The 27,684-nt window shown below is 60.7% G+C and overlaps 1 protein-coding gene and 1 non-coding gene across 2 annotated transcripts, besides 11 other annotated features; both read right to left on the minus strand.

Annotated features, from left to right (window-relative positions):
* On the minus strand, positions 580–27,483 carry RTN4R (reticulon 4 receptor). The gene is made up of 2 exons (NM_023004.6): positions 27,236–27,483; positions 580–2,275 (listed from the first exon to the last, which is right to left on the minus strand). The coding sequence occupies exons 1-2, from the start codon at positions 27,255–27,257 to the stop codon at positions 876–878; spliced, it is 1,422 nt and encodes a 473-aa protein (NP_075380.1). The 5' UTR covers positions 27,258–27,483; the 3' UTR covers positions 580–875.
* Positions 1,872–2,464: an enhancer, noted in NCBI's record as "H3K4me1 hESC enhancer chr22:20230230-20230822 (GRCh37/hg19 assembly coordinates)". NCBI's record gives its function as "activates a minimal SCP1, AML or CMV promoter by ChIP-STARR-seq in naive H9 embryonic stem cells {active_cell/tissue: H9 hESC(naive)}" and the evidence as "EXISTENCE:reporter gene assay evidence [ECO:0000049][PMID:30033119]".
* Positions 2,880–2,929: an enhancer, noted in NCBI's record as "active region_18673". NCBI's record gives its function as "activates an Ori minimal core promoter by ATAC-STARR-seq in GM12878 lymphoblastoid cells {active_cell/tissue: GM12878}" and the evidence as "EXISTENCE:reporter gene assay evidence [ECO:0000049][PMID:35858748]".
* Positions 6,017–6,607: an enhancer, noted in NCBI's record as "H3K27ac-H3K4me1 hESC enhancer chr22:20234375-20234965 (GRCh37/hg19 assembly coordinates)". NCBI's record gives its function as "activates a minimal SCP1, AML or CMV promoter by ChIP-STARR-seq in naive H9 embryonic stem cells {active_cell/tissue: H9 hESC(naive)}" and the evidence as "EXISTENCE:reporter gene assay evidence [ECO:0000049][PMID:30033119]".
* Positions 6,017–6,623: a biological region, named in NCBI's record as "H3K27ac-H3K4me1 hESC enhancer GRCh37_chr22:20234375-20234965".
* Positions 6,454–6,503: an enhancer, noted in NCBI's record as "active region_18674". NCBI's record gives its function as "activates an Ori minimal core promoter by ATAC-STARR-seq in GM12878 lymphoblastoid cells {active_cell/tissue: GM12878}" and the evidence as "EXISTENCE:reporter gene assay evidence [ECO:0000049][PMID:35858748]".
* Positions 6,514–6,623: an enhancer, noted in NCBI's record as "active region_18675". NCBI's record gives its function as "activates an Ori minimal core promoter by ATAC-STARR-seq in GM12878 lymphoblastoid cells {active_cell/tissue: GM12878}" and the evidence as "EXISTENCE:reporter gene assay evidence [ECO:0000049][PMID:35858748]".
* Positions 7,335–7,936: an enhancer, noted in NCBI's record as "H3K4me1 hESC enhancer chr22:20235693-20236294 (GRCh37/hg19 assembly coordinates)". NCBI's record gives its function as "activates a minimal SCP1, AML or CMV promoter by ChIP-STARR-seq in naive and primed H9 embryonic stem cells {active_cell/tissue: H9 hESC(naive and primed)}" and the evidence as "EXISTENCE:reporter gene assay evidence [ECO:0000049][PMID:30033119]".
* MIR1286 (microRNA 1286) lies at positions 8,299–8,376 on the minus strand. Its single transcript, NR_031618.1, has one exon. It is a non-coding gene; the product is annotated as a microRNA 1286 (primary transcript).
* Positions 15,368–15,912: an enhancer, noted in NCBI's record as "H3K4me1 hESC enhancer chr22:20243726-20244270 (GRCh37/hg19 assembly coordinates)". NCBI's record gives its function as "activates a minimal SCP1, AML or CMV promoter by ChIP-STARR-seq in primed H9 embryonic stem cells {active_cell/tissue: H9 hESC(primed)}" and the evidence as "EXISTENCE:reporter gene assay evidence [ECO:0000049][PMID:30033119]".
* Positions 26,327–27,015: an enhancer, noted in NCBI's record as "H3K27ac-H3K4me1 hESC enhancer chr22:20254685-20255373 (GRCh37/hg19 assembly coordinates)". NCBI's record gives its function as "activates a minimal SCP1, AML or CMV promoter by ChIP-STARR-seq in primed H9 embryonic stem cells {active_cell/tissue: H9 hESC(primed)}" and the evidence as "EXISTENCE:reporter gene assay evidence [ECO:0000049][PMID:30033119]".
* Positions 27,227–27,386: a silencer, noted in NCBI's record as "silent region_13485". NCBI's record gives its function as "represses an Ori minimal core promoter by ATAC-STARR-seq in GM12878 lymphoblastoid cells {active_cell/tissue: GM12878}" and the evidence as "EXISTENCE:reporter gene assay evidence [ECO:0000049][PMID:35858748]".
* Positions 27,477–27,636: a silencer, noted in NCBI's record as "silent region_13486". NCBI's record gives its function as "represses an Ori minimal core promoter by ATAC-STARR-seq in GM12878 lymphoblastoid cells {active_cell/tissue: GM12878}" and the evidence as "EXISTENCE:reporter gene assay evidence [ECO:0000049][PMID:35858748]".

Raw genomic sequence — 27,684 nt, forward strand, 5'->3', positions numbered from 1 at the left:
GCATGCGTGTATGCATACATGGGTGCAGGGACATGCAGACCCACCACGGCCTATGTTTGGGGTGTGGGCATGCTGTAAGTGGGGGTGCCCCAGACACGCATGTGGGGTCTAGTGTGACCACCAGCAGCGGTGTGAGGGTGCATACAGCCCCCACTGGGCCTTGAGGCCAGGCCTGACCCGCCCAACTCTCCTTCAGGGCCTTCCTCTCCTGCCACCCACCAGGGGTAGGAACAGGGTCCCTCATCCTCAGCCTCCTCCTGGGGGCTGCCCGGGCAGCCTGATTGGGGTGGGGGGCCCGAGAGCAACTGTCCCCACAGGGGCTGCTATGTCCAGACCCATGGACCTGGCATGTGCTCCATCAGCCAGGCTCAACGACGTCAGCCACCAAGCATGCTCCATCTGTGCGGCTGGGGGGCCAGGGGCACCTGACATTGGAGCTGCCCTTGGCCAAGGCTGTCCCACCTGTGGTGCCAGGCAACTCCCTTCCTCTGGGGGCCTTGTGATGGGGGAGAGGCTGCCCGTCCAGCACCCACCCCTGCTTCTCACCGCCCACAGCACCCTAGCCTGAGAGGCCACAGCTTAAGAAAAGAGCTCTTTATTCCACGTCGTCCGATATTTTTACACAAGTAAAATAAAATGCATATCTCTATATACCGCGATCTGGGTGGGAGGCGGCGTTCTGGAACAAACGCTGCCGCCGAACCCTGTAAACATGATGGGGTGGAGATGGGGGTGGCGGGCGGCAGGCGTCCATCAGGGAGGACCTGGCCTGGCCTGCCCCACGGGTCGGCCGCCCGGCTGGCTTGGCGGCGTGGAGAGAGACCCCGTATGTACACACACCTGGCTGCTGAGCACGCTCTTGTGTCCGCTGGGGGTCAGCAGGGCCCAAGCACTGTCCACAGCACCAGCGCCAGGCCCAGGGGGGTGAGGCTGCAGGTGAGGCTGGGTAGGGCACCTGAGCCTTCTGAGTCACCAGTCCCGCCACCCCCGCTGCCTGCCTGGCCCAGACGGCAGTGGCTGCGGGTGCGGTTCTTGCGTGAACAGCCTGGCCTCCGGCGAGGGCCCGAGGTGGGGAACCCTGGTGGCTCGGAGCCCTCGGGCCGCACTGCAGTGAGCGGGGGCTCAGCAGAGCCAGGCAGAGTCCCAAAGGGTGAGTCATTGATGTGCCGTGGGCCAGAGCCGTTGCCCGGCGGGCTGTCACCGGGCGGCACGCGTCCCTTCAGCGCATTGCCTGCCGAAGCTGGTCTTCCAGGCTCCAGTACTGAGGCCTTGTCAGCGGCATCTGGCTGGCAGCACTTGGGAAGCCCCAGCGGCTCCTCATCGGTGGCCCTGCCGGTCCAGATGGGATGGTAAGGGCCGGTGGCCACAGCGCAGCCCTGCAGGTCATTGGCAGCTAGGCGTTTGAGGTCACGGCCAGCCAGGCGTTGCGGGAGGCTGCAGGGCACCTCGGAGGAGGAGCCGCGGAACTTCTGCAGCCAGGCCCAGAGTGGGCGTGCCCGGCAGTCACACACCCAGGGGTTGTCGTTGAGCCTCAGGTACTGCAGGGCACGCAGGGGGGCCAGGGCCTCAGTGGGCAGCGCTGATAGATTGTTGGCAAACAGATAGAGTGTCATGAGGCGGCCAAGGTCACGGAAGGCATGCGGGTGCACATGGGCCACGCGGTTCTGGTGCAGTAGGAGACGGTCGAGGCTGTGCAGCCCACGGAAGGCGCGCTCGGGCACGCTGGAGATGCGGTTGCCGTGCAGGAAGAGGTGTGTGAGGTTGCCCAGGTCGCGGAAGGTGTCATCAGGCAGTGCCTGCAGCGCGTTGTCCTGCAGGTAGAGGTACTGCAGGGCAGCCAGGCCGCGGAACAGCCCCGGGCCCAGCTCCTGCAGGCCGCAGCGGTCCAGGTGCAGCGTGTGTAGGCGGCCCAGGCCGTGGAATGTGGCAGGGTCCACAGACCGGAGCTGTGCATTATCGCTGAGGTCCAGCTGCTCCAGGAGGGCCAGGCCAGTGAAGGCAGCCGCATCAATTCGGGCCAGCACATTCGAGTGCAGCCACAGGATGGTGAGGTTGCGGCAGGCACGGAAGCTGGCAGCTGGCACATGCGAGATGCGGTTGCCGTGCAGGAAGATGCGCTGGCTGGCAGCAGGGATGCCCACGGGCACAGCCTGCAGGCCCTGCTGGGGGCAGCTTGTCGTCACCTTGGGCTCATTGTAGCATACGCAGGCACCTGGGCATGGGGCTGCCACCTGCCAGGCCTGCAGCCACAGCACCCATGCCAGCAGCCGGCTCCCTGTGGGCAGAAGACAGAGTGGTTAGCAGGAAGGGCAGGGGTACTGGAGAAGCTGGAGGTTTTGCTAGAGCCAGGTGGGCCCCGGAGATTGGGTCTCAGGAGGACCTGGGGCTGGGTCCAAGATGTGGCCACCACCCCCGGGAATCGCAGTGTTGGGATCCCTGCTTCACAGGCCTCATGGACGATGCTGGGCTAGAACATGCCTTGGAGCCATGCACTCCACCCTGGAAGCCACATCTGCAGACTCCCCATACCACACCCAGGAGCAGCCCACTGGGTCACCAGGGGCACTCACTTGAAGGCCTCCTGGAATGGACACTGGTGACTGCAGGTACCTCCTCAGGACTCCAGTGAACACAGAGCCCGCATTGCAGGAGTCCCCGGGGGGTCCCAGTGGGGGTTCCACCCACAGGGCCTAGGAAACACTGCAATGGGGCTGGGGTCCCTCTGGGCACGTCTATCTCAAAAACGGGCGCCTGGATGCCCGAGGGCGGGGGTGGAGGGCAAGTGTGTCCAGGGCTTAGGAGGAGTCGCGTCCCACAACCACCCAGGCAGCCTGCTCCCTCCTCCACACATCCTCCTTTCAAGCACTTCCTGACTTGGCAGGAACCCTCCTGAAGCCTCCGCCCCCTGGCCTCATTCTCTGCTCCATCTCCTCCCTGGGAGGAGTTCACTCCTCCCCAGCCAACCCCTGCAGTGCCAGCTGCCTGCACCCCTCCCACCCAGACGCCATCAGCAGGGATAGCCTCCCAGTGGGTTCTCCCCCAGCCCCAGGTGCCTGCAACCCCTCCTCCATTACAGGGCCAGATACACCTGGGGCTTCACCAAGGCCCTACATGGGCAGTAGTCCCTCCCGGGGTGCCGCATCCAGAGCTGGTCTCACCAGCGGGGTCACCCACTCCGGAGTAAGCTTTCCTGCCTCTCATTCCACCATTGAGCCCCCACCCCTTTGGAATGCTGAAGATTCTTTCTGCCTTCAGCAGTGAGTCTATTAAAATGTGAATCCCCCTGGGAAGGTTATGGCTTATCAGCTAACACTTGAGTTATCAGCTAACACCTGCGTTGACAGCTAACACCTTCCACGGCAGCTGGCTAAGAGCAGGATTCTGCAGACATGAGGCCGGCTAAGTGCTGGGGTTGGAGCCGGGCAGGAGGAAGGAGTGGACCACAGGCCAGCTTCCCCAACCTAGAACTGTGACCCTGGGGCCCTCCTACCCACATGGGGCCCCTGCCCCACTGGGTCCTCTCTACTTGGGCAGACAGTGCAGTCGCCCTAAACGCAGAGCCCAGCAAGCCCAGCACGCGCAGTGACCGCTGGGCATGTGCGTCCTCCCAGACTCAGGTTCATAGGTCCTCAGACCCCCTCCCCACAGCCTGGGGGCCTCCTCTGCCAAACCCCCTGCCCCAGGGCCATTTGTTGGCTACCAGGGAGATGGCAGCCCAGGGATGGGGGTCCGGAGGCCCCTCCCTGGGTGGGCTGGGTGAGGAAAGCACCTGGCCTCGTGTTCTGTTTAAACTGCGGACACCCTCTCTGCTCTCTTTCTACACACTCTTCCTAGGAAGGTGGGGCCTGACCATGTCAGCTCCCCACTGCTGTCTCACCTGCTGTCACCAGAGGGAAAACTGTGCTATGTAAATGGCACTTCCTGTCCTGGGGCCAGGTGGGGTGGAGGCCCCACATGCTCATGGGGCAGGGTCAGGACTCACTGCCACATTATCGACCACACCACACCACTGACTGTGGGGGTCACCAACTGAGCCTTGTCACCAACCATACCATGCGGCTGACTGCACCCACCAAGACTAGCCACCCATGGTGGCCACGCCCGCCACATTACCACTGAGCCATGCCACCATCCCACCACTGTCCTGTGGCTCCAGGCCCGAAGCTGTGGGCTGTGAGTCTGGCTGTGGTCAGGGCTCAGCTCACTCGCCTTGAACCGAGCCCTGTGCTCATGGATCTCCCTCCCGAAGCAGCTGTGTGTCCACTCTAAACATGCCCCCAGTGAGGTGCCAGAACTGAGCCACACGGTGGTGCGGGGTCGGGGGAGACAGGGGAGGACATGGGGGAGTGGCCACGTGGCGCTCAGTTCTGCCAGGAAGTGGGTATTGGGCGCAAAGACACGGCTCGGTTCCTGCCGAGACAACTGCTTTTCGTAAACCAACTTCTGAGAGTCGGGTGAGGTGGGCTCTCTCCTCGCTGCAGCCATGGTAATTGGCTCCAGCCTGGCCCCCCTTGGGGCCTGCCCGCTGGTCTCCATGGCAACCCCTCTGCTGAGCGAGCAGGAGGGGGCATCTTTTTATGAGATAATCAAACCCAACTTTGCAGCATGGGTTTGTCTTCACAGCCGGGGCCCTGGGATGAGGGAGACGCAGCCAGGTGGGGGGAGGGTGTCCTCTGACCCCATCCCAGGGGCCAGACTGGTGACTCACCAGCCTCCTCCCTGGCCCCATGGTGGACTGCAGCCCCTCCCCACCCCAAAAGACCTCCCTGGCCCGTGGCCCCTGACCTGTCCCCTGGGCTCTGCAGCCTCAAGGCCACAAGGCCTCTCTGGCCCTCTCGCCCACCTTTCTCTCTCCTCTATCTGCCTGGCCAACTCTAATAGGATGCTCTACTGTCCTTCTGGAGATAGCATGGCCTCCCTGCCTGCCATCACCCCACTTTCCACTCTCACCCAGTCTCACCCTGGCCCCAGTTCTCACGGAGCCTCCAGTATGAGCTCTGTCCTTCCTGCCCCTTGCACACGGGGTGAGCAACCAGCCCTGCCATGGCCCCAGCTCTCACAGAGAAACCATGGATAGCGTGCCTGTCCACCGTCCCCACCCAGGTTGGCCCTGCGGCCACCTGAGCCTGCGAGGGCCCCAGAGGGCTCTCCTCAGCCTCCAAGCTGCACACAAACTGGTACATCTGTGCCTCTCCCACCCTCCCAGGCCAATTAACATCTCTTCTTTCCTCCAGGGTCTCCTCCTGGGACCTCCCCGGAGGATGGCCCTGCTGGCTGTCAGGGCTGGGTCATAGCTAGGAGCTCCTGTCTCAGCCCAGGCCTGGCTCAGGAGCCACAGTCAGGGGAGGGCTGGCTCTCCTGCCTGGAAGGCTCTGAGCTTTCCCAGCGGGGACAGTGACCGGATACTGACCCAGAGCCTCTCCCTGCGGCAGCCAGACTGGGCAGGGTAGGACCCAGGATCACCAGGCTGAAGGCCCAGGAGGCTGGGCAGCAAACAGTCCAGGACGCATCCCCCTGACGGGAGCAACAGGCAGCCCAGGTGGGCACCTGCACCATCAGTTCTGGTGAGTGGAGGGCTGTTCACGTTCACTGCAGGAGGGAGTGTGGCGGGGGGAGGAGGAGGTGGGAGGAGAGCGAGGAGGGCAGGAGCAGAGGGGAGGGGTGGAGAAGGGGGATGGGGAGGTGGCGGTGGGAGGCTCTGGGGATATGCCCAGCCATTGGGCAGGCAGGCGGCTGCTGAGGTCAGCAGCTCACCCCAGCAGCCCAGGGAGCTGAGCCGAGCCGAGCAGGGATGGCCTTCTTCATGTGGTCCCTGGCCCCCACTGTTCCTGGGGCCCCGCCCACCTCCGTGCCCTCCCAAGCTTGGGCTGAAGTTCCACAGGGATGCCTTTGCCTCTGCCCAGCGATGCCAGGAGGCAGCACAGGGCAGGCAGCTGTGGAGGCGCCGAGCACCGGCTTTCATCCACGCACAGCTTGGTGCCCTCGGGCCCCAATGCCGCCCCTGGGCTGGGATCACCGGAGGGTCCCATCACCTGCTATAAAAAGTGAGACAGCAATACATTTACAGATTAGGAAACTGAGGCAGTGAGTGGTTAAGCCCTGCCCTGCTCCCACTCCAGACTACCCAGGTGGAGAGGCGGCCAAGGGAGACACTCACAGTGCTGCCCGGAGGGGCCACGAGGCATGTCCTGCCCAAGCAGGAAGGCTGGCGGCCTGGCTAGTAATGGGGGAGGGTGTGGAGGGGCTGGGCTGCAGGCCACGTGCAGAGGGGCAGGCAGCGCCCTCCTGTGTCATGGGTGGCCGGGAGGGGAATCTCCAGGGAGGCTCTGAGCTGCTGCTTCCCAGGGCTGGGGTAAGAGGCTGCAGAGGGCTGGGGCTGGGGGTGGGACCAGCTGTAGCACAGCCGGGACATCAGTCAGCTCAGGATCCTCTCGGACACCAGCCATGTCCCCGTCAGGCGGTCACGTCACAGACCACAGTTATGAGGCAGAACAGGAGGCCACAGCTCAGTGCACCAAGGCCAGAAATAGCTCCAGGCGGGGGTGGCGGGCCTATGTCATCCCCACACCACAGAGGGTCAGGGCACCCCTCCCACGCCTGCTCCCCACTCCTGGCCCTCCACCACTGACTCACTCCCCCCGCCCCCCACCCATCTGTCCCCCGATCCTCGCTTGCTTCTCACATGTACACCCACCCGCCATCCATCCTCAGGCCCACAGACACGTGCAGGGGCAGCCAGAATTCCCATGGTGTTTCCTGTGCCCTTCCAGGGCTCCAGGTGCTGCGGCAGGAGATTGGCAGCAGCTTCTGGTGGGGGCAGTCTGCCCTTGAGGGGTCCTGAGTCTCCTAGGGAAGTGAGTACCAGCCCCTGATGCCCTGGCCCTGGCCCCTGCTCCTTGTTGATCTTGGCTGCAGGGGCAGGGTAGGCAGACCAGGTCAATAACAGGCAAGGACACCTGCCATGGTGAGAGGTCACTGGACCCAGACTGAAGCAGCTCCAGGCCTAGCTAGCTACATGCTGTGGGGGAAACTGAGGCCCAGTGTGGGCAGAGCCTTCAGGACTGGCCTCCTGAGTGTGCCTAGTGCTTCCTCAGCCCCCTCGGCTCCACTCTTTGCCCTGGCCGGCAGGGCTCGTCCCTGCCCCGTGATGCTGGGCTCACCAGAGACAACGAGATGTAGGTAGGTCCAGGGCCAGCAGGCCAGGCCAGAGGCTGGGCCCTTCAATCCAGCAAATTCTCTTGGAGGGGGTGTCAAGTTTATTGACCCATTTTACAAATGAGGAACATAAGAACTGGTGTGGGTATAATCAATAGCAAACACAATCCAAGGTCAAATCCAACCATATGCTACTTACAAGAAACATGCCTAAAAGTACACAAAATCTTGCAATTAAAGATATTATCAGAAAAATAATAACAAGTAAAGCAGGAGAAGCCACAGCCCCAGGGCTAGCGGGCTTCCCAGTCTCATGGCCCCAGGGGTGCGAAAAGGTCTTGCTGGGCAGTAAAGGCTCAGCCACCCCCGCTCCTAACCTGAGCTCCACAGTCCTGTTTCCAGCCAGCAGGGCACCTGAGAGGGTACACCTTTCAAGTCACAGACACTGAAGCTAGCAGAGGATGGCCTGGCCCAGGTGAGAGCTGGCAGCCCTGGATGGCACCCTCACCCCAAGGACACATCAACGTGGGCCACACCGTGCAGGATCATCCACTCGCTTGGCCCTCCCTCCGTACCTTGGCAAGGTGTGAAGTGGCCCCTGTCCCAGGTGCTGTGCTGAGTGCCGCCCATACAAGACCAGGCCGAGGAGCCGGGTCCCAGGCACTCACGGTCCAGGGCCAGCTGACCACGGGCAGCCACCCTGCTGCATGGCAGGTGCCCTATGGGAGAGTTAGGAGCCACAGAGGCCTGAGCCAGCCCCAGGCAGCATGAGGATGTTGGCAGGAGCCCAGGAGCCCACTACCAGCCAAAGGGTCTTGGCAGAGCCCCAAGTGGGCAGGATCCTTGGCCTAGCACCTAGGCCTCGAGGATTCATCTTTGGTCAATGCTGGGCTGCCTGCGTGGAGGGCTCCAGAACCTTGCCCCATCCAGCCCATACACCCCTCACTGGAGGTGCACCCTCCTCGGCTCCCACCCCAGTGAGCCCCACACTGGGGGCCCCTGGAGGCTCTGCCCAGTGGAGGCCTCGCCCAGCCCAGGGCACAGCCAGTGCCCCCTTGCCCCACAGGAGGCTTGAGCCCACCTGCTCCTCCATGCTCCACCAGGAGCCAACAAACACCTGCTGCCTAATTATCTGGAGAATCCTGTCTCCACCAAGGGCTCATCTTGGTCCTGCAGCTAATTCAATCCAGCAGCCAGAGCAAGCTGAGTCCCCAGAGGACACTAATGAGCAAGTGACCGGTGGCCGGCCTGCTCCCACCCTGGGGACGCACTCTGAGCCAGGTCTGGGCCCAGCACTGCCATACACCTGCCTCCCATGCCCATCTGCCTGCCTGACCCTGCCCGCTACCTGGTGCCTAGCCCTGCAGGGCCCACATCCACTCCCATGGGCTAGCATCCAGACCTAAGCCCCAGCCCTCCCACACTCCCCCAGGACCCTGGATCTGCTGCATGCACAAGGCTGACCACTGCCTGTGAGCCCAGAGTGTCGGCCTTGACAGGGCAGGAGGAAGTACAAGAGCACATGCTCAGGGTGCACGAGCCAGGAGCACAGACTCAGTGCATGCAATGGGACCCCTGGGGGTGCACACGATAGGCGTGCATACCGGAAACACACAATAAGAGCCCCCAGGGCTGGTCAGGGCTCAGGCAGAGTCCACTGAGCAGTAGAGGGTTGCTGGGATGCGAGCCCCTCCCAGGAGCCAGGGCCCGGCTGGAGGGTCTGCATGCCGCTGCGGCAGAGGAAGATGTGTAGGCACATCCCCATGTGTTCTCTTGCCCTCAGCATTTGTAAAACATGATCAACCAGGCAGGCGAGCGGCCTCTGTCCGAGCAGAATTTATTCTGCTGTGAAAAGACACGTGTGGGTCCTGAGGCTCTTGCCGGCTTGTTCTCAGCAGCCTTGGATCAGCCTCAGTCAGCAGAACAGCAGCTGGACAGGCTCCCATTGGAGCCATCCCAGGGACTGCCCAGCCCTTCACATTAGAAACTGAGCTGGGGGCAGCAGCTGGCCCACGGCACATAAGCAGTGCCTGCTAAGACCACAGAGAAGCTCAGCCAGGCAGGGCCAGTGGGATCCAGCACTCCCCAGGGGATGAGGAATCTAAGAGGCAGGAGAGGATCCTCCTCAGCCTGGGATGTTCCCATTGGAATTCCCCCAGCCAAGGCCAGAGCTCCGTGTCCGGGGGCCAGAGTGGAACCCTTGTCAGAGCCGACAGGCCTTGGCCTCCTATTCTACTGGCACCTGGCAAACTGGCCCAAGGGCTGGCTGCTGCTTCTGTAAAGGATGTGCTATTGGCAGCCAGCCACACCTATGTGTTCACGCATTGTCCATGGCTGCTTTCCCGCAACAACAGCAGAGCTGAGTTGTTATGACACACTGTGTGGCCCACAAAGCTGGAATTATTTAGTATCACACCATTCACACAAACAGTTTGCCGACCTGGTTTGTGAGCAAGCCGAGTGTGGGTGCTGCCACCTTCACCCTCACAATGGCCCCAGCAGTTCACTCAGACCCCCACTAATGAAAAGGAAACCAAGGGTCAGAGAAGACCACGGTCCTGCTGAAGTCACATAGCCAGGTGAACAGAGCCCAGCAACCTCAGTGCAGGCTCAGCTCTGTGGAGACCTGGGCAAGGTCAGCATCTCACGGAGGCCTAGGGTGAGGGGTTCTAGGCAAGAAAGAGACTCAGAAATACTGAAATACTCTGCAGGTCAAAACAGAAATGATCATTTTTCTAAAGAGGCTGTCAGGAGTCTCACAGTCAAATATGCATAAAATAGGACAACCTAACACAAATAAGTTGGGAGGGGTGGCTCACACCTCAGCCTCCTGAGTAGCTGGGATTACACACACACACATGCATGCACACACACACACACACATACACACAAAGAGAACAAAATGGTTGTAAGGAGAGGGGGACAGCAGAGGAAGTGCTGAATGACACAGTCCGGCTTCGGAGGAAAGGACTTGGGTGGCACTTCAGAGGAGACAAATCCAGTGCAGGTAGTTTTGAAGAGGGCAGCCGTTTAACTGAGGTAGGGGGTCTCTGGGGACAGGGCCCCTCCATGCCAGTCCACCCACCTTGGAACCCTGCAGAGGCTGGGCCGAGGCCTCTCCCTGCACCTTGTATCAGGGACTCTGGCCAGGTCACACCAAGGTGGCTTATGACCCATTAACATCAAGCTGCCTCCCTGGGCTGGACAGGGCCTGGAAAGAGGTGACCTGGGCAGATCCGTGTCGATGTACTTCCCAGGACATCAGGATTCCAGCCTCTGCTAAAGGGATCTTCACAGTTAATAACAAAGAAATATTAAAGATGAGAACACTTGGTGCAGGAAACAAGAGAGGAAAGGGAGTGCGGTCCCTCCTTGCAAACAGGATGCCCTGGACCACCCTCCACGGCCTCAGGCCTGGATGCTCCTGCAGACCCATAGCCAAGATTGTGAAGGAAAAGTAGGCTGTGGAGGCATTTTCTGTCCTTGTTATCATCATTGTAAACATACTCATCATCACCATCACCATCCTCATCACCATCACCACCACTATCACCACCATAATCATCAGCAGCAGCATCATCACCATCATCACCACCACTATCATCATTACCATCCTCATTACCATCACTATCACCACCATCATCTTCATCACCATCCTCATCACCATCACCATCCTCAACACCATCCTCAACACCATCATCACCATCACTATCATCATCACCATCACCATCCTCAACACCATCATCACCATCACTATCACCACCACTATCATCCTCATCACCATCCTCATCACCATCACCAGCCTCAACACCATCATCACCAACACTATCACCATCATTATCATCATCACCATCCTCATCACCCTCACCATCCTCATCACCATCATCACTATCACTATCACCACCATCATCATCACCACTATCCTTATCACCATCATCATCCCCAGGCGACCAGAGCAGCACCATCCTTATCCTCATCACTATCACCATCACCATCACCATCATCACCATCCTCATCCTCATCACCATCATCCCATCACTATCATCACCATCCTCATCACAATCACTATCATCACCATCACCATCCTCATCATCACCATCGTCCTCATCACCATCACCGCCATCAGCATCCTCATCACTATCATCATCACCATCCTCATCCCTGTCACCATCATCGTCTTCATCATCATCACCGTCATCATCACTATCATCACACCAGCTCTGTGCAAGGCCCTTAGATAAAGGGCAGCCTGGGGCTGACCTCACACAAGGATAGGAAGCCCCAGGTGAGCAATGGGTCAGTACTGGGTCGACACCAGATATCCCTGGGCAGAGGCCCTGGCCCAAGGATGGGGAAGGGAAGAGGACAAGGGATGGGGAGTAAGAAATGAGGGCCCCTCGCCTCCCTGGGACAGCCCAAGGTGCAGCCTTTCCTCATTCCTGGAGGTTTCAGGATATCCCTGTGCTGCATCCTCCCATTGTACGGTGAGGGGGTGACTGCCAACCCACTCCTCAGATGAGGCACTGACTGAGGCAAGTGCCTTGCTGGCCACCTTGCAAGGCCAGGAGACAGTGCACACAATCTGGACTCCAAGATCTCTGCCCACCCCCATCTTCATCACCACTATCCTTATCACCATCATCATCCCCAGGCGACCAGAGCAGACCCTGAGCCCCAGGGATGACACAGCAGGGAGGGGCAGCCACTCTGGGCTCCCCAGTCCCCCATGGCACCTCAACCTCAGCCCAGGAGGCTGCCCTCCCAGGGATGGCTGAAAGTGGGCCCTGGGGTCTTGCAGCCCTGGGCTCAGATGTAGCCTCTGCACCCCCTCACAGAGTAGGCAGAGAATCTGCCAGCCCCCTCCAAATCTGTCCCCACACCAGTGATGTGAGGACAATGAGAGGCCAGCACCTACCTCCCCCCAGGACCCCAAAGAAACCCCACCCAGGCCCCCACCCAGCATCCTGCCTCCCCAGAGGCCTGCCAATGTGACCTGGGTCAGCCTCGTCTCAGGTGAGGAGTCCAGGGAGGCAAGGTACAGCTCACAGCGTCCCAGAGCCACACGGACCCCTCTGCTCCAGCGGTCTTGCAAGGCCACTCTGGCCTGGCCTGGCAGTAGCCCTGCTTTATTGAGGAGATATGGCAGGCAGGATCCTGGCTGCATCTGGGCTGGAAGAGGGGGCAGCAGCCAGGCTGTGCTACAAACCCACCTGGAGCCACTTCCTCGCTGCTTCTGCCCATCTCAGCCTCAGCAGAGAAAGAAGGCTTGAGGACAGGCCTGGTGCAGCCTGACTCATCTCATGAGAGACCCGGCCTGTGCTCAGAGTCGAGTTGCTGTGGCTTCTCATGCAACACTGATGGTCCCCCTCCCCTGCTCACCCACCATGTGTTAGACACGGGGATCTGCATGAAAGACACGTGTTCCTCCCCTTCCAGAGACCCACCGAAATGAGGGTGATGCAGAGTGAGGAGTGGGGAGCACAGTGGCAGGCTGCTCCCCTGGAGAAACACCCAGAGAAAGGGGTTCCACCACTGGTATCCAGGAGCACCCAGGGCCGATGGGCAGAAGAAAAGCTCCATCTCAGCAGAGCAGCCAACCAGCTTCCCTCATAAAAGTGACCAGAAAACCAGTGACCACCAGGCATCCGGAAAACATATCAATGCAGAAAAAGAGGGAGAATGATGCTAGAGGAAGCCGACAGTGTGGGAAAAAGACAAAAATTAGGAGAAACATCTAATTTGTGTCTTCCTAGGCATAGATGGGGATTTAAAACAAGAACAGGCTGCTATGAACAAGGAGGCATCAGACAAAAAGAAAGAGTGCCTGGAAATTAAAAATAGAATCACTAAAATTAAAAAAAAAATCAATACAAGTGTTAGAAAACAAGGTCAAAGAAATCTTCCAGAAAGAAAAACAAAGGAGAAAGACAAATGAATGAGATTTGGGAGACAAATATAGGTTGAACATCCAAGGGGAGTTCCAGAAGAGAAAACAAAAAAACTGAGAAAAGCTAGCAAAGAAACAATACCAGAAAACTTCCCAAAGCTGAGTACCCAGTCCTCCACTGGGCATTCACAGTGCACTTTCAGGCCCCCAGGGGTCAAGGGAAGTCTGAAGCTCCAGGAGGAGAAGCTGGTCACAAAGAGGCAACACGAAGCCATGAGCAGCAGTGCACGCCGGTAATCCCAGCACTTTGGGAGACTGAGGTGGGAGGACTGCTTGAGGCCAGGAGTTTGAGACCAGCCTGGGTAACACAGTAAGACCCTGTCTCTACAAAAAATTAAAAAGTTAGCCGGGTGTGGTGATGCATGCCTGTAATCCCAGCTACTTGGGAGGTTGAGGTGGAAGGATTGCTTGAGCCCAGAAGTTTGAGGCTGCAGTGAGCCATGATCATGCCACTGCACTCCAGCCTGGGTGACAGAGTGAGACTTTCTCCAAAAAAACACACAACAAAGAAGATGCACTATGGTATTGGCCTCCTTCATAGCACACTAGATGCCAGGAAACAACAACACTGCAACAGCTTCATAGCTCTGAGGGGAAACTAATTTCAACATGGAATTCTAGACCGAAACAATCCAGCTTGAACATACTTGTAAATACAGGAAGACTTCCGGAATGATTCTTCACCATATCTTCTTTAGAGAGTGAGTCAGGCTTATGTTTCAGCCAAAATGAGGTGCAAACCCAGAAAGAGGAAAACGTGGGGCCCAGGAAGCATTAACTGAAATTTCAACAGGTGGTAAAGGGAAGTTATGGGGCAGCAGGACAAGTGCTTGGGGTGAATCTTTATCCAGGGAAAAAAATGAGACCCCAATAGAAGCCCTGATGTGGGGAAGAGTAAGCCCATGAGGGTGGTGGATGGGTAAAAAACATCAACTGTAAGCCCCAAGGAAAACAAAAGGCCATGAAAGAGAAGGAAGGTCACCCATCCCACGGCAGGATTGAGAAGAACATTTATGGGACCTGGGTTGGGAAACACTGGCTGTGAATTTAACTGATGGCAGCGAGACAGCCATGCTGGGGAGTGTGCTGGAGGAGACAGAGCTGGAGTAGAAGCTGAGGAAATGTGGCGGCAACCACTGGCAAAGCCAGGGAACAGAGGCGACAGTGGCTGCCTCCCAGGAGGACGCGGGGCAGGGGCAGATTGAGCCCATTCTCCAGACCAGCCTCCGAGGCTGGGTGCAGGTGTTAACTCTGCAATATGTTGTTGACCGAATGTTATTATTTTTTAAAACAACTGCATATGTGGCACTAAAATCTCAGAAAACAGATAAATAAAAAGAAAAAAAAGAAAGTGTATCTTCCAGAAGGTGGAGACAAATGTAGGTTAGAAGCAGGTGTCTCCAAGGTGCAGGAGGAGAGCGAGGGACAGTGAGAGCTCAAGAGCACCTGGACATACAGCCCCAGGGCAGCTGGCATCTGGCCAGGGAGGATCCACATGCTGCTTTTTGGTCCCCTGCTCGGCCAAGGGTGGCTGAGGATACATCTGGGTCTCCCAGGACACTATGGGCTCTTGGCCCCAGAGACTCTGCAATCCAGACACCCGAAGGGGCAGCTTCTGGCCTAAAAGCCCAACTCTGTGCTTGGGCCTTCCCTGCAGGCCAGGCAGCTGCTTCCCTGAACCAGCCTCAGAGTTCCTGCCTGCCCACCCAGCCCAGCCCTCACACTGTGATGAAGCCCCACCCCTGGATTCCCCTTACCCCTGCCCGCTCCTGTCCCCTCCTTGTCACAGATCTGAGCCCCCCACTCCAGGCTGGGGCCCCTCAGGAGCCGGGGGTAGGGGTGTGCGGTCAACACCCAGCAGGGGTCGCCTAGCACTGGGGTGGGTGTGCAGCCCCCAGCCTCCTTTCTGACCGTGCACACGGGCTTCTCTCAGCTGCTATGAGAGCCCCCAATGCGTCTCCACAACCAAACCGAGGCACGCACGCAGCGGCGACGTGAATAAGTAATTGCTCTTTTATTAACAAGTGATAAATTATTCCTATATGATTGTGTGTGATAACTCTTCCTTATTTGAAATCAATTTGGGATGGAAACTGTTGTCGGCTTCTCATCCACGAGGGTGGGAGGCCCAGGTGCCGCTGCCTCTTGGAAAACGAGGTCAGTGTATTTCAGCTACTTCCTGAGGCTGATGCGCCGCCCCACTGCGCAGGGCCAGTGGAAGGGGGTCAGCTGCCCTCCGGGAGGCGGGGCAGTCCGGCCTTATTTCCTCAGCATCTCTGTCTGGGACCCACGCCACTGAGCCCAGGGCACAGAGGGGTCCCTCAAGTCCAAGGCCACACTGGGCGTCACCACAGGGTCATCAGGGGTCAGGGGGCCATGCACAGGCCATACTGCATTCATCCCCCCATGTAAGCCCCAAAGACTGGGCAGCCTGACCTTTCATCCCACAGAGGACACTCCAGCACCCAGCTGGTCTCCTGGCCTGCCCGGGCCACCCCACGGTGGCTTCTCAAACCTGCAAAGGCATAAGCCATTCTCCTAAAATTGTCCTGATGATTTTACAACAGCCCTGGCCCCATCCCCTTTTCTTCCTCCCCCAGCCTCACAGAGGAGGGTTCAGGGACTCAGCCTGTTCAGGGCAGCCCCTGGGCCAGGCCTCAGCACCTCTTCTGTTAATGCATATTTAAAACCTTGCAACCCACCGGGCAGCCAGCCAGCCGGTGCCTCCCTCCCAGGCCAGGCCTGCAGGAAGCCATGCCCCGTCCCGCTCACTCCTCCACTGGCTGCTTCTCCGACCCCGATCATGGCTGCAGCAGGCCTGGAGGCCCGGTCACCCCCAGGCCCAGTCACATGGCCCTACTCAGGCACCACCTGTGCTTCTTGGCTGGGTTTCTCATCTGAGAAATGGGAAGGCTGGGTCTGGGTGAGGCACTTCTGTGGGCCCACTCCCACGGTCTCCTTGACACCCCTCCACCTTCTGCCCACTGCCAGGGTGCCCATTCCACTCCACACCTCGCTGGCCCACTTAGCAGGCTTCTGTGTAGCTTGTTTCTGTCGGTTGAGGCACCCTGGGCTTTGGGCTCCACAGGGGCTGGTGACCCGCATACAGGAGGTGCTCCATAAATGTTAGTCATGTGAATGCACTAAATGCTCACCACTAAGGGCAAGTGGCAGGCTTTGTGCAGCTATAGAGACAGCATTCCCCAGGATGTCCAGCCCTGGGAGAGAGCCTTGGCCCACAGCCCATGAGGCAACGGATGTTCCTGGGTTGGGGGCATGGCTCCAGCACCCCAGTGCCAAGGGCACGGTCTCTAAGTAGCAACATGGATAGCTTTACTTCTGTTACAGCTCCATGTCTGCGTCTCCCCCAGATTCACGTGTCGAAGCCCTAACCCCCAGTGTGATGGTATTTGGAGGCGGGGCCTTTGGGAGGTGATTACGGTTAGATAAGGTCACAAGGCTGGGGCCCTCACCATGGCATTAGTGGCCTGGAAGAGAAAGAGACCTCAGAGAGTACATGCCCTCCTCTCTCTCCACCCTTCCATCCCCTACCACGTGAGGGCACGGTAAGGAGGTGGCTACCTGCAAGCCAGGAAGGGAACTTCCACCAGAACCAGCCCATGCTGGCACCCTGATCTCAGACTTCCAGCCTCCAGAACTGTCAGGAAATGTGCTTCCGTTGTTTAGGACACCTTGTCTATCGTATTTTGTCATGGCAGCTTGATCAGACTAATACAACTTCTTTCTTAAAACTTTGGTGTATTTTTCCAGATTTTCTACAATGAACATGACCTCATAAAATCAAGAGTGTTTTTCGTTTGTTCTGTTTGGTCTTATGCTGACACTGGGCCAGGTGGAAGGGTGGGTGAGTCCGTCTTGCAGGTGGCAGGAGCCCCCTCCATGAGCCCCCACACCCCAGGGTCCCTGCCCAACGTGATCGGCCCTGCAGGGCAGTCCTGGAACCAGTTCAGGGCTTGGGGCCCTGGCTCTGCCTAGGGAGGTCTCAGGCAGGCCCCCCAACGTCTCAGAACTGCTTCCCTCAGTTGGAAATGGAGATAATAAGGCCCACCTCATGGCACCCACAAAGAATGGGGCAGCCTGCACCTGGCCTCTCCCTGGAGGACCTTCTCACATCACCCCCGGAGGGACCACCATCCCCACCCCACAGAGGAGAAAGCCCAGCTCCAAGGCCAAGTTGCAGCCAGGAAGTGCTCTGCTGGCATCCTACCTGGCCCTGACGCCAGGCCTGAAGCCAGCACCACCCGGGGCTCTGTTGCTCCAAGGCCATTGCCCCTGCTGGCGTTTGCTCAAGGAGCTCCCCCTCCAGAATGCCCTGCCCTATTCCCAGACACACTTCCTCTGGGGGGCTCTTCTCCCCCAGCCCCACCCCTGCCACCCCTAAGGAGGCTGGCCCCTTCCCAATCCCTTCCTCGTCTGCACCACTGCCTTGCCCAAGGTGTCCATCCTCAGACCCAATGGGGCCACCATGGGAGCCCGGCTGGGTAATGGCCCATAAGCTCCTGCCCATGGAGTACTCAGGCAGGGAGGGGCACAAGCTTGGCTGAGCATGAGTGACAGGCTGGGTGGGTCTCAACCTCACCCTGGGCCTGGGGTAGCCCCTTGCAAGTGAGGATGTTGAACACGGTGGACCCCCAGGCAGAAAGTGAGCCACGGGGGGCTATGCAGGACTGCAGCCCTCCCCTCCCCTCAATTCACTGGTGAGTAGCCTGCTACTCCCCTGGCTCCCAGGGCAGGGCCCTCATCACCTCGAGACCCAGAAGCAGTGATGGAGACCGTCCTGCAACATCAAGCTCCCTGTGATCTGGGGGCCAGGGGATCCTGAGTACCCTGCCTCCTGGAGTGCTCTGCCTGCAGGGGGCAGTAGCAGCACCTTCAGGTGGGGTGGTTGGGGTGGCTTCCCGGAGGAAGTGATAACTCAGCTAGGAGTGGGGCGTGGGGGTGGTCCTGACATGTACCAAGGCTGGGGGTCAAGTGTGCACTGTCTCTCAGCCAGGAGGGTGGAGGCGCTGGACCAAGGCTGGGGGTCAAGTGTGCACCGTCTCTCAGCCAGGAGGGTAGAGGCACTGGACCACTGGGGCCTCAGGTGTCCAGGTCACTTGTCCCTGGAGTCCCTGGCTATGACAGAGGCCCTGGTGGGCAGCTCGGGGTTGGGGACAGGCCAAGGCATAGGGGAGGGCACAAAGGGAGGTTGGTGCCCCACCCATCACCCATCATCCGCCTCAGGCCACCCCAGGGGACCGGCCTCCGCTCCGGCAGCGGGTGAAGAATGGACTCCATTAGGGCCGCCATCTGTCTCAGCCATGACGGGTCCTCGCGGTGACATCCGGGAGGTATGTAGATGGAATATCTTTATGGGGAGAGTTTTTCTTTTGCCAGTTTTCAAATAGGAAGCCAGACACTTGTCACACCTGTCCCTGTGTCAGCCTCTGCCTGACATAAATTGGGGCCGAGGCAGGGAGATGAAAGACAGCCTGGAGGCAGCCGGGTGCGCAGGGCCCATGTGTCAGGCCGAGGGAGCACCAGAGCTGCAGGCAGCCTCCTGCTGGGGCCAAGGAGAGCTCGCCCCGCAGTCCACCTCCGCAGCCTCTGCCCCTCCCTCCACTCCCCTCTGGACCCACAAGTTCTTCACCTGCCCTCCCCCAACCCAGAGCCCTCCAAGCATCTCACCCGGGCAGTGGCCTGTCCTGCAGCCACTGGGCTTCTGTTAGGGGACACTGGAGCCTCCTCAGCCCCCAGGCCAGCAGCTCCAGCTCCTCTTCCAGACCTGGGGCCAGTGTGGCTTTCATGAGCGGTCAATGTGGGAGGCTCAGAGTCCTCAACCTCACCCCCGCTGCCACTCCTAGGGACCTTGTGGGCTTCAGCATGTTTCCCTGGAATCTGGGGGACTTGGGGGTAGAGCATGTCAAGAACCTCAAGGTCCCTGCCGCCCAGCATGGGACTATCTTAGAACTGATGCCAGGAAGAATTTGCTAAGAGAATGAAGGGAGAAGCAAGTGACCCCTGTGGGCCTCCCCTGCATCGGGGACTGGACCAGGGCCCACTGGGAGTGCATCTTGGTGCCTGAAACTGCACCAAGGATGAGGAGGGGAGGACCCTCCCCAGGGGACACTTGGGGTTCACCTGGCAGGCCACACTCAAGTCCACAGTCCCCCATGGCCCCAGCGGGTGGGGCAGGGGACGCACCCAGCTGAGGGAACTGTGGCAGTCCTGCTGTTGTCTCACGTGGCCCTAGGGGGCTCATCTGTAGCCCCCACGGGAGCCCCAAGAAGCCAATCCCTGCTGGGCTCATGGGCTACCACCTCATACAGCCCCATCCCTCGGGAGGCCCTGAGGAGACCCTGGGGCTGGGCAGGGCGTGACCGGCCAGCTCCATGCTTCCTGACAAGGGGGCCTGGATGTCCAGGGAGAGCCAGGAGGGAAGCGGAGACTCAAGTGGAGAGTGTGTGGGAGGGAACGTTGCTGGGCTCCACAAAGGAGGGGGCACCAGGGCTGACTCCCAGGTTCCTGGTGGCATGCGTGGAGGCAGGTGGGGCCAGGAGCACCAGCGCAGCACATCCTGCGTGACCTTGGGCCAGCTCCTCAGCCCTCCCTCGACAGCCGTGCTGGTAGCTGGCCAGGCCCGGGTGAGTGAGTTCCCCAGGTAGGTGGAAGGGGCTTCTGGGGTAGGGGCCACGCCCGGGGGCAGGTGGCCCACCCTCCCAATACCCAGTCCCACCCCGCCCTACCACAACTGAGGACTCTGCCCAAGGACCAGTCAGGGACGAGGCATCCTCTCCAACTGCACTGCAAGGCCAGCACAAGTGAAGGGCGGGACAGAAGCCTCCACACAACAAAGGCAGAGGACCCCATACTTCTCTCTGAGTCAGTGCAGAGGTCCTGCGGCAGAGCTCCTGCTGGAACCCAAACTGCGCCGTAGGCTCCTCACTGAGAACTAGGGACTTCTCCACATGCACCCAGCCTCCCCTCCGGACTCCACAGCTGCTAGCCCTGCCCGGACCCTGTGCACCCCACTCCCACCCCGTCATAGCCTCTCAGCCCCACTGTCATTTGGGCTCCCCTGGCATGAACTAACGTGTCTCTCAGGATGTCCTACGAGGACCCTCACGGCAGAAGGACCGATGGGGAGGAGTGGCCCCAGAGAGCAGTTCCTTCTCTGTACCCACCAGGGTTCAGCAGAGGCTCCTGCTCCAGGCAGTACAGTGGGGCCCACATGCCCATCCTCACTGGCCACATGGGCTGGTCAGAGTCCAGCCTGGATCCCCCCAGGGCAGGACAGGACAGGTAAGAAGGGCTGAAAACCTGGGAGGCCTCCAGGAGGTGAGGGACCTGCCACCCCTTCCCACAAGGCCCTAAGGCCCCAATCACTAGTCTCGATTTCCACAGCTAGTTTAGTCCAGGCCAGGAAAGGGCGTGCAAGGGGCCTGGCCTGGAAGAAGGGGTCCCTGGAGCCAGGTGCACCAGGAGCCTCCAGCTTGCCCAAATCAAGCTGCCACTATGGCCGGGTCCTGTGGGCAGTGCTCACTCACCACCGCTCCAGCTTCACGATAGCCACGTGCGGACAGGGAGGCTCAGAGGGTAGGTGGCTCCCCGGGGGAAACAGAGCAACCCTTGTGCAGCCGGCTGGGCCAACTGATCTGCACCTAACAGCCAGTCTTGAAGGCCACCAACCCTGGGGTCTCCCGGAGCTGACCCAGGGACAGAAGGGCACCAGGCACTGCCCACAAAGGTGCAACTGATCCTCCTCACCGGCGCCTGGGCCCTCCCTCCCTGCCAGTGTGGCTGTCCCACCCTTCATGGCTTTCTGCATCCTCAAGCTAGGCCTGGGCTCTTCAAGTGGAGAGGGGTAGGCAGACACAGGTGCCAGGCACTGGGAACTAGGGACGGGGGCTTCCCTGGTGAGGATGGAAAAGAAGGTTCCTACATGAGACCCTCTAGCCCAGGCCCTGAGAACGAAGGGGCCAAAGCTTCACCTAGGGGCAGCCATGGGGGAGTTTAGGCAGGCAGTGCCTGGCTGGAAACATGTCTTAGGGAAGCACTTGAATCCCGGGGTGGGGAACAAGATGGTAGGCAGGGAGCCGGGGCCGGCTGTGGCCACAGGCCGGGGACAGAGGCCAGGTCTGAGGATGGCCCTCAGTGAGGAGTAAAGGGGATGGACCGGGAGACAGGGTGCAGGTTTGACACTGATTTTGCCTTTGGGGATGGGTCGAGGGAAGAGGCTGAGACTCTGGGCTTGGACGTTGGGTACGGAGGATGTGACACTAGCAGACAGGCTGGATCTGGAGGCCCAAGGTGTGTAGTGTGGGGAGCTGTGTGTGCAGGAGAGATGCAGGGCACTAGGGAGCCTGAACCCCTGCTCCAGTGCACAGGCCGGGCACACGGCAGGGAGGAGGCAGTCACCATTCCCTCACTTGCCGGGACCTGGGAGGCAGGGCAGAGTGGGTGATGGGCCAGGCTGGGGCCTTGGAATGACATCTGGCATGTGGCAGCGGAGGGGGGACATGTAACTGGGGACTGTGGACTCCCAGCTGGAATCCACCTCCACCTTCCACATCCACGCACTGCATTTTGGTCTTTACTGAGCACCTGCTGTGTGCAGGGGCTGCTCTAGCCCCTGGGACCACCAAGGGCCAGCCCTCCACAACCCCAGACCTGCACTCAGCCCCCACCCACTTCCTCCAGAGCCCCACACCCCACACACTGAGGACTCTAGGCATTTTCCCACTCTTGAAGACACTGAGCTGGGAACACCACCTCTGGCTACCAGCCGTGGACTGCAGAGAGGCCTACGGTGACCAGGAAGGGTGGAGCTGCCCAAGGTCACACAGCAAGCCAGCACTGCACAAGCTTACCCATGGCTGCCCAGCCTTGGGGAATGGGGGACTTCTGGCATGTCCCCGAGCTGGGCCCTGGCAGAAGGCAAATAAAGGCAACATCTCAACAAGGTTGTGATAGCCGGGGATCCAGGCAAGCAAGGGACAATCCAGGAAGGCTCCCAGGAGGAGGTGAGGGGCCTGGAGCCCACCCTGGCCTGAGCCCCTCCTTGGCACTCCAGCCTGCCTAGCCCTGCCCCCTTCCTTGACGGGCCCCTCACCCAGCCTCAGCCTTGGCCTGACATTTCCCGTGACATTTGCTGCAAAGAAATAGAGTCATAAATCCAAAGGTTAAATTTGCACATCGCCTCAAATTGCTGGGAGAAGCAGTGGTCCCTCCACCCACTGGGCGCCCCGTGGGTGCGGGGTTTGTGTGGCAGGGTCTACCCATCCCAGGGCCCTTGCTGGAGGCCCACAGGTCTCCTCCTCTGGTCCTCCGGGGCACTTCAACCACTGTTTCCCAAAACAGGTTCCTGGGCACACCAGGCCCTGAGGTACATCGCATAGGGGTGCCTCTCAGAGAAGGTGCTGCCCACCCCTCTCCAAAACAGGGCCCAAGACGCCCTGCGGGAAAGGAGCACCATCAGCACCATTTATTCCAGCAGGTCCCACATTTGACCACAAAGCCCTTATGTGATACCCCCAACATTCCAAAGAATTTCAACTCCATGGACCGTGACCCGTGACAGCCAGCTAAGAATGCCAGGGTGCTGACTGGAGAGCCAAGAGGCACCCGGGGGCCCAGGGCAGGCTGCTCTGAGTGAGGCTGGGTCAGCACCCGACACCTCACTCCCAGATCAGCCCAGCTCCATGTGCCAGGGCCCTGAATGGGGCTTTCCACCTGCCAGGCCTGTGTAGACCTACATGGGGACCCTGGCCTGTGCCCACTCAGCCCCTCCTAAGGCCACTCTCGAGGTGTGCCAACTGCCCTGCCTTTCTTCTCCACCTCCTGGTCTGGCTGCTGTGGGTTGCCTCCATCGGACAGGACACAGCTGCGGAACAGTGTCAGCATCACCCCATGCCCCGCTGCCCTGCTGCCCCGCAGAAGAGGCCCCGCAGGCCATAGCAGGCAAGACCAGAGGCTGTATGAAAGAGGCAGGGGAGAGGTGGCCCCAAGGCACCCACTGCACAAATGGCTGCCCAGACTCTACTCACTCACCATCACCTACCCGGCCAGCCCACGGTTGTCAAAGCCTCAGTGGGCTAGGAGGGGCAGGATCTGGCCCTGCTGCCGAGTCCCCTGAAATCAGCCCAAGCATCGGGGGAGAGGCACGTGACCAGACCCCAGACCTGGTGGGTGCCAGCTGAGGACATGGTGGGGTGGGTGTGCAGAGCTGCATCTCCCAGTGTCCAGCTCCACGGCTGCAGGCAGTGCAGGAGGCCGGTGCAGGTTTGGATAAATAAATGATGGTGCATTCTCAGGAAGGGATTCCACACACACCAGAAAACCCATGATGCACAAGAATAGTTCCCGATGTGCAAAATGTTTAAAATACAGCGATAAAAGAAGAAACGGCAGCACAGAACACCTGGTGTGGGGGAGCCCAGCTGGGCCCCAGGGACAGTGCAGGGAGATTTGTGGGGTGGGGCAGCATGCCCGCCGCTCCGATCGGGCTTCCCTGGGCCACTCTGTGACCTCCTATCCTTTAAAGCATTTAATCCTAGAGATGCCCGATGCCAAGGATCACACCCCTTGATTTGCCTGGCTCAGAAGAGAATCTGACAGGCTAGGAACGAACGAGTGAATGAATGAACAAATGAGAAAGTGAATGGATGGTTGGGGCAAATGCAGCATCTGGGATCTGGCTTTGAGGAGGGTGCCTGTGACCTTGGCCTGGGTGCAGCCAGACCGCAGAGCAGGGACACTGAGGGGTGCAGAGAGGGACCCGAGAGGGCATCTGCACAGCTGCAGAGGCAGCAGGCGGCCAAGCCAGCTCCCGCAGACCCTGAGGCCCAGGCCCTGGGTGGCTGCAGAGGGTCAGGCAGACCAGCCTGGGGGTCAGAGGTCAGGCTCACCAGAATGGGGGCGGGACGGCATGAACCTCATTGATCAGATAGTAGCCAAGTGTCAGGAGCCCTCACTAACCCTGTGCCAGGGCCGGGCGGGGCGCCTGGCTCACACACGCATTTGTTCATTTCCAGGTCATCCTGAAACTCCCCGTGTGCTTCCTGCTCTTGACCCCTTTCCCAGGTGCACAGACCAAGGCTCCCGGTGAGAGGTTCCGGGCCACAGGCCCAGGACAGCAGGAGGGCTCCTCTGCCTCCCGCCCGTCCTGTCCTCACCAGCTGGACCCTCCTGGTGTTGCACCGGCTGCACAGGGCCGTCCGTGCCACAAAGCATGAATTCAAGGCTGGGGCAGGGACGAGGAGAGGGCAATGCTACAAGGCTGCACTGTTCCTGGGCAGAGGGAGGGGGAGAGCACGGTCCCACACACCCTGGCCCTCACAGCCTGCCTGTCACTCACAGCAACAGCAAACAAACCCTGGCCCCTCCACAGGCTGTGGGCCAGTTCCCAGCCTCCCAGGACAGCAGGACCTTCCCCCACCTTCCAGGGCCCCAGCCCCTGTAGGGGTGTCCTCCATGGACCCTCCACAAGCCCTCTGGCTTTCAGAGACGTGCTGGGCCAGGCCCTCCCTCAGCCTCTCCCCTGCTTCTCACTCCATGCAAACCTACGTTTCTGCCAGTCCCAGCAGAAGGACCCTGGCACGGGGAAACTGAGGCTCAGGGGTTCCACAGACCCCCAGGTGAGGAACAGGGGGAGGGCAGGGAGGGAGTGAAGGTACTATGGGAGGGTCTCCCAAGCTGGGCAGCATCCCTGCCCTGTCCCCTCTCCACTCACCTGTGGCCCGAGTTGCCTGACTAGGGGCTTTTATTGTCCCTTCTGCACATGGATGGGGTGAGGGGCCAGCTGGCAGTGCAAAGGTCCCAGGAGGACTCTGCTGAGTGGGGGTGTGGGGAGGTGTTGTGGGCATTCTGAGGCAGAAGCACCAGAGTCAGAACTCCACAGGGAAAGCCGGGCCAATTCCGCCCAGCCTCAGCCTGGAAGTGCCCCGATAATCCCTGACCACTGGCCCATGGTGCAGGTGAGGAAGACTGAGGCAGAGAGGCGACCTGTCACACCCAAGGTCACACCGCCAGCAGGTGGCTGAGCCAGGACCCAAATCCAGGTCACGGTTCTGCCACGGCAGGCCCTGCACGTGCCCCTCTGCCAGGTGGCGTCTAGGTGCTGATGGCCACCCATTCCCACCCCCGGCATGGGAGCTCACTTCCTCCTCACCTCAGTAGAGAAGAACAGGGAACAGTACCCCCTTTATAGATGGGAAGACTGAGGCTTAGAAAAAGAGACTGGCCAGCCCCACTGCTTCAGCTGCCCCTCTGCTAGTATGTTTCACCCTCACACAACCTACAAGGATAACCTGCTGGTCCCCACTCTATAGATGAGCCTCTGGTGGTGGCCAGGGGAGCAGGAGGTGTGGCCTGCCAATCCAAGCCCCAGCCCAGGGCCCTTGCCACAGTGCTAGTGGGCCACCCTTGCCCATCATGCAGCATGGCATCCATCTGCTCAGCACCCTACACAACACCGGAGGTAGGGGAGCCCACCACAGAACCCCTCACCAAGAAGGTCCTCACCATGGAGAAACTGAGGCACTGGAGGCGGGGCCTCTGCAGTCACGCTGGGTCACGTGCTCCAGTCAGCCAAGCTGCAGCGGCCACCAAGGGTGCCCAGGGTCTGGCCTGTTGGTCACAGTGTTGACCTCATGGCCTGAAATGGGTCTTCCCTGCCCAGACAGGTTCCAGCCCACCATCATCTATCTGCCTCAGCCCTGGTGGGTAGGGAGTGGCTGGGAGACCCTGCCCCTCACACCCTGGGCTTTGCGGTATTCAACGAGCCCCCAACACACATTCCAGGGCCTCTGCTCCAGATTAGGCCACAGCCTGTCTAGGCACACAAGGGGCACCCACACCCTGGAGGCAAAGAGACATGCCTATGTGCCCGCAGGCACACATGATCACGCGCACAGACACACGTGCAGATGCATACCAAGTTACACACACGCACACAAGCCCGAGGCGGGGACCCCCAGGACACGGAGGCAGGCAGGCAGAGGTGGGGCCCAGGATGTCTTGCCCCTGTCTGTGGGCCTGGCCTCCCCACTCAACAGACGAGCATGTGGGTGCGGGAGTGGTTATTGCGAAAGGGGCCCCAGCATGTGCCACCCGTGGAGACCACAGCAGGCATGCCGCGTGCATGCATGTGTGGCCGTGGGTGTGCAGGCGGGGGCGAGGACACAGATATGCACCCTCAGAGTCCGTGTGTGCACCCAGTGTTTGTGCATGTGCACACTGGGGCGGCGTTGGCTTGCATGTGCACCAGAGGTGTGCAAGTGTGCAGTCCGTGTAGACAAGTGCACGTGCAAGGAAACGTGTGTGCAGCCTGCGGCACCATGGACATCAGCAGGGCAGCCTGGGTGGGCACCTGGGGAGCACCCTCCAGGCGGGGCATGCCCAACTCACATGGAGCCCACCCTCCCTTGCCCGCACCGCGGGACCTCACAGCCGGTGGGGCGGGGGAGTCCCACGAGGGCTGCTAGGGAGGGGTTGCTGATTGCCCCACCGCCCCTGATTCCCCCAGCCAAGCCTCTCAATGTCCCTCGGGCTGCAGATGGCGGGCGTTGCTGCCTCCTCTCACCGCCCGCCCTGGAGGCAGCGCTGGGACAACCCTGTCCCCCACGCCCTCTACTGCCGCCAACGCCCCCATTCATCCCACTGTGGACTGACCTCGGAGAAACGGGAGGTTCTGAGCCCAGACCGTGAGGCTGGGGTGGAGGCGGCCCGACACCCCCACCCACCCTCGGTACCCACGTTTCTGCAAAAACCCGCTCGTTAACCCCTTGGTGGCCGGGGCGCTCCGAGGCCGGGCCCCGCCCTTCCAGCCCACGGCCCCCGCCCTCGACTTGGCCCAGCATCGGGGACCCTCGGACCGCCACCCTCGGCCCTGCCGAAGCCGTCAACTTTCCCGGGAAGCGGCAACTTTTCCTGCCGCCTCCGGCTCCGCCCTCCCGGGGCCGGGGCGCCAGCGGCCCCAGCCTGGCGCGGCACTGCGGTGGCTTTCCCTGCCGCCCGGCTACGCTTCCCTCGCCTCGGCAGCCCGGGACGGGCCCTGCGGCTCCGGGGAGGGGGCGAGCCGCCCCCCTCCGCGCCCCGCCGCCGGCCGGGCTCGGGTGCAGCGCGGACACTCACCTCCAGCGGACGCCCTCTTCATCGTAGGGGTTGGGCGGGGCGCGTCGGGGACTGAAAGTCGTTTCGGGGCGGGCGCCCGTCTCCCCGCGGCCGGGTCCGCATCCAGGCGCCGCCGCTACGGCCCGGCCCCGGCCCGGCCGCGGGACGAGGCTCGGCGCGCTCCGCTCCGCCCGGCTCTGGCTGGGCTCGGGCCGCGGGTGCGCAGGGCGCGCAGGGCGCACAGGGCGAGGGCGGCGGCGGCGCGGGGGTTGGGGCGTGGGCGGCGCGGCGGGCCGGGGCGCGCAGGCCGGGCCGCAGGAGGCGCTCAGCCCGCCCGGTGCACCGGCGCCGCGCGGTCCCAGACAAAGGCGGCGCATTCCTGAAGAGGCGGCGGCCCCTGCAGGCGGCGGAGGGGATGGCGGCCCGGGCCGGAGCCGGCCGGGGACGCGGGCCCGAGGGTGTGGCGGCCT

The sequence above is a fragment of the Homo sapiens genome, chromosome 22 (assembly GCF_000001405.40).
Source record: "Homo sapiens chromosome 22, GRCh38.p14 Primary Assembly".
Taxonomy (NCBI): Eukaryota; Metazoa; Chordata; class Mammalia; order Primates; family Hominidae; genus Homo; species Homo sapiens.

Coding starts and splice junctions, on each gene's coding strand:
- RTN4R (NM_023004.6), bottom strand. CDS start 27,257: ATGAAGAGGGCGTCCGCTGGAG. Junction 2,276..27,235: donor GAAGAGGGCGTCCGCTGGAG/GTGAGTGTCCGC, acceptor TTCTGCCCACAG/GGAGCCGGCTGCTGGCATGG.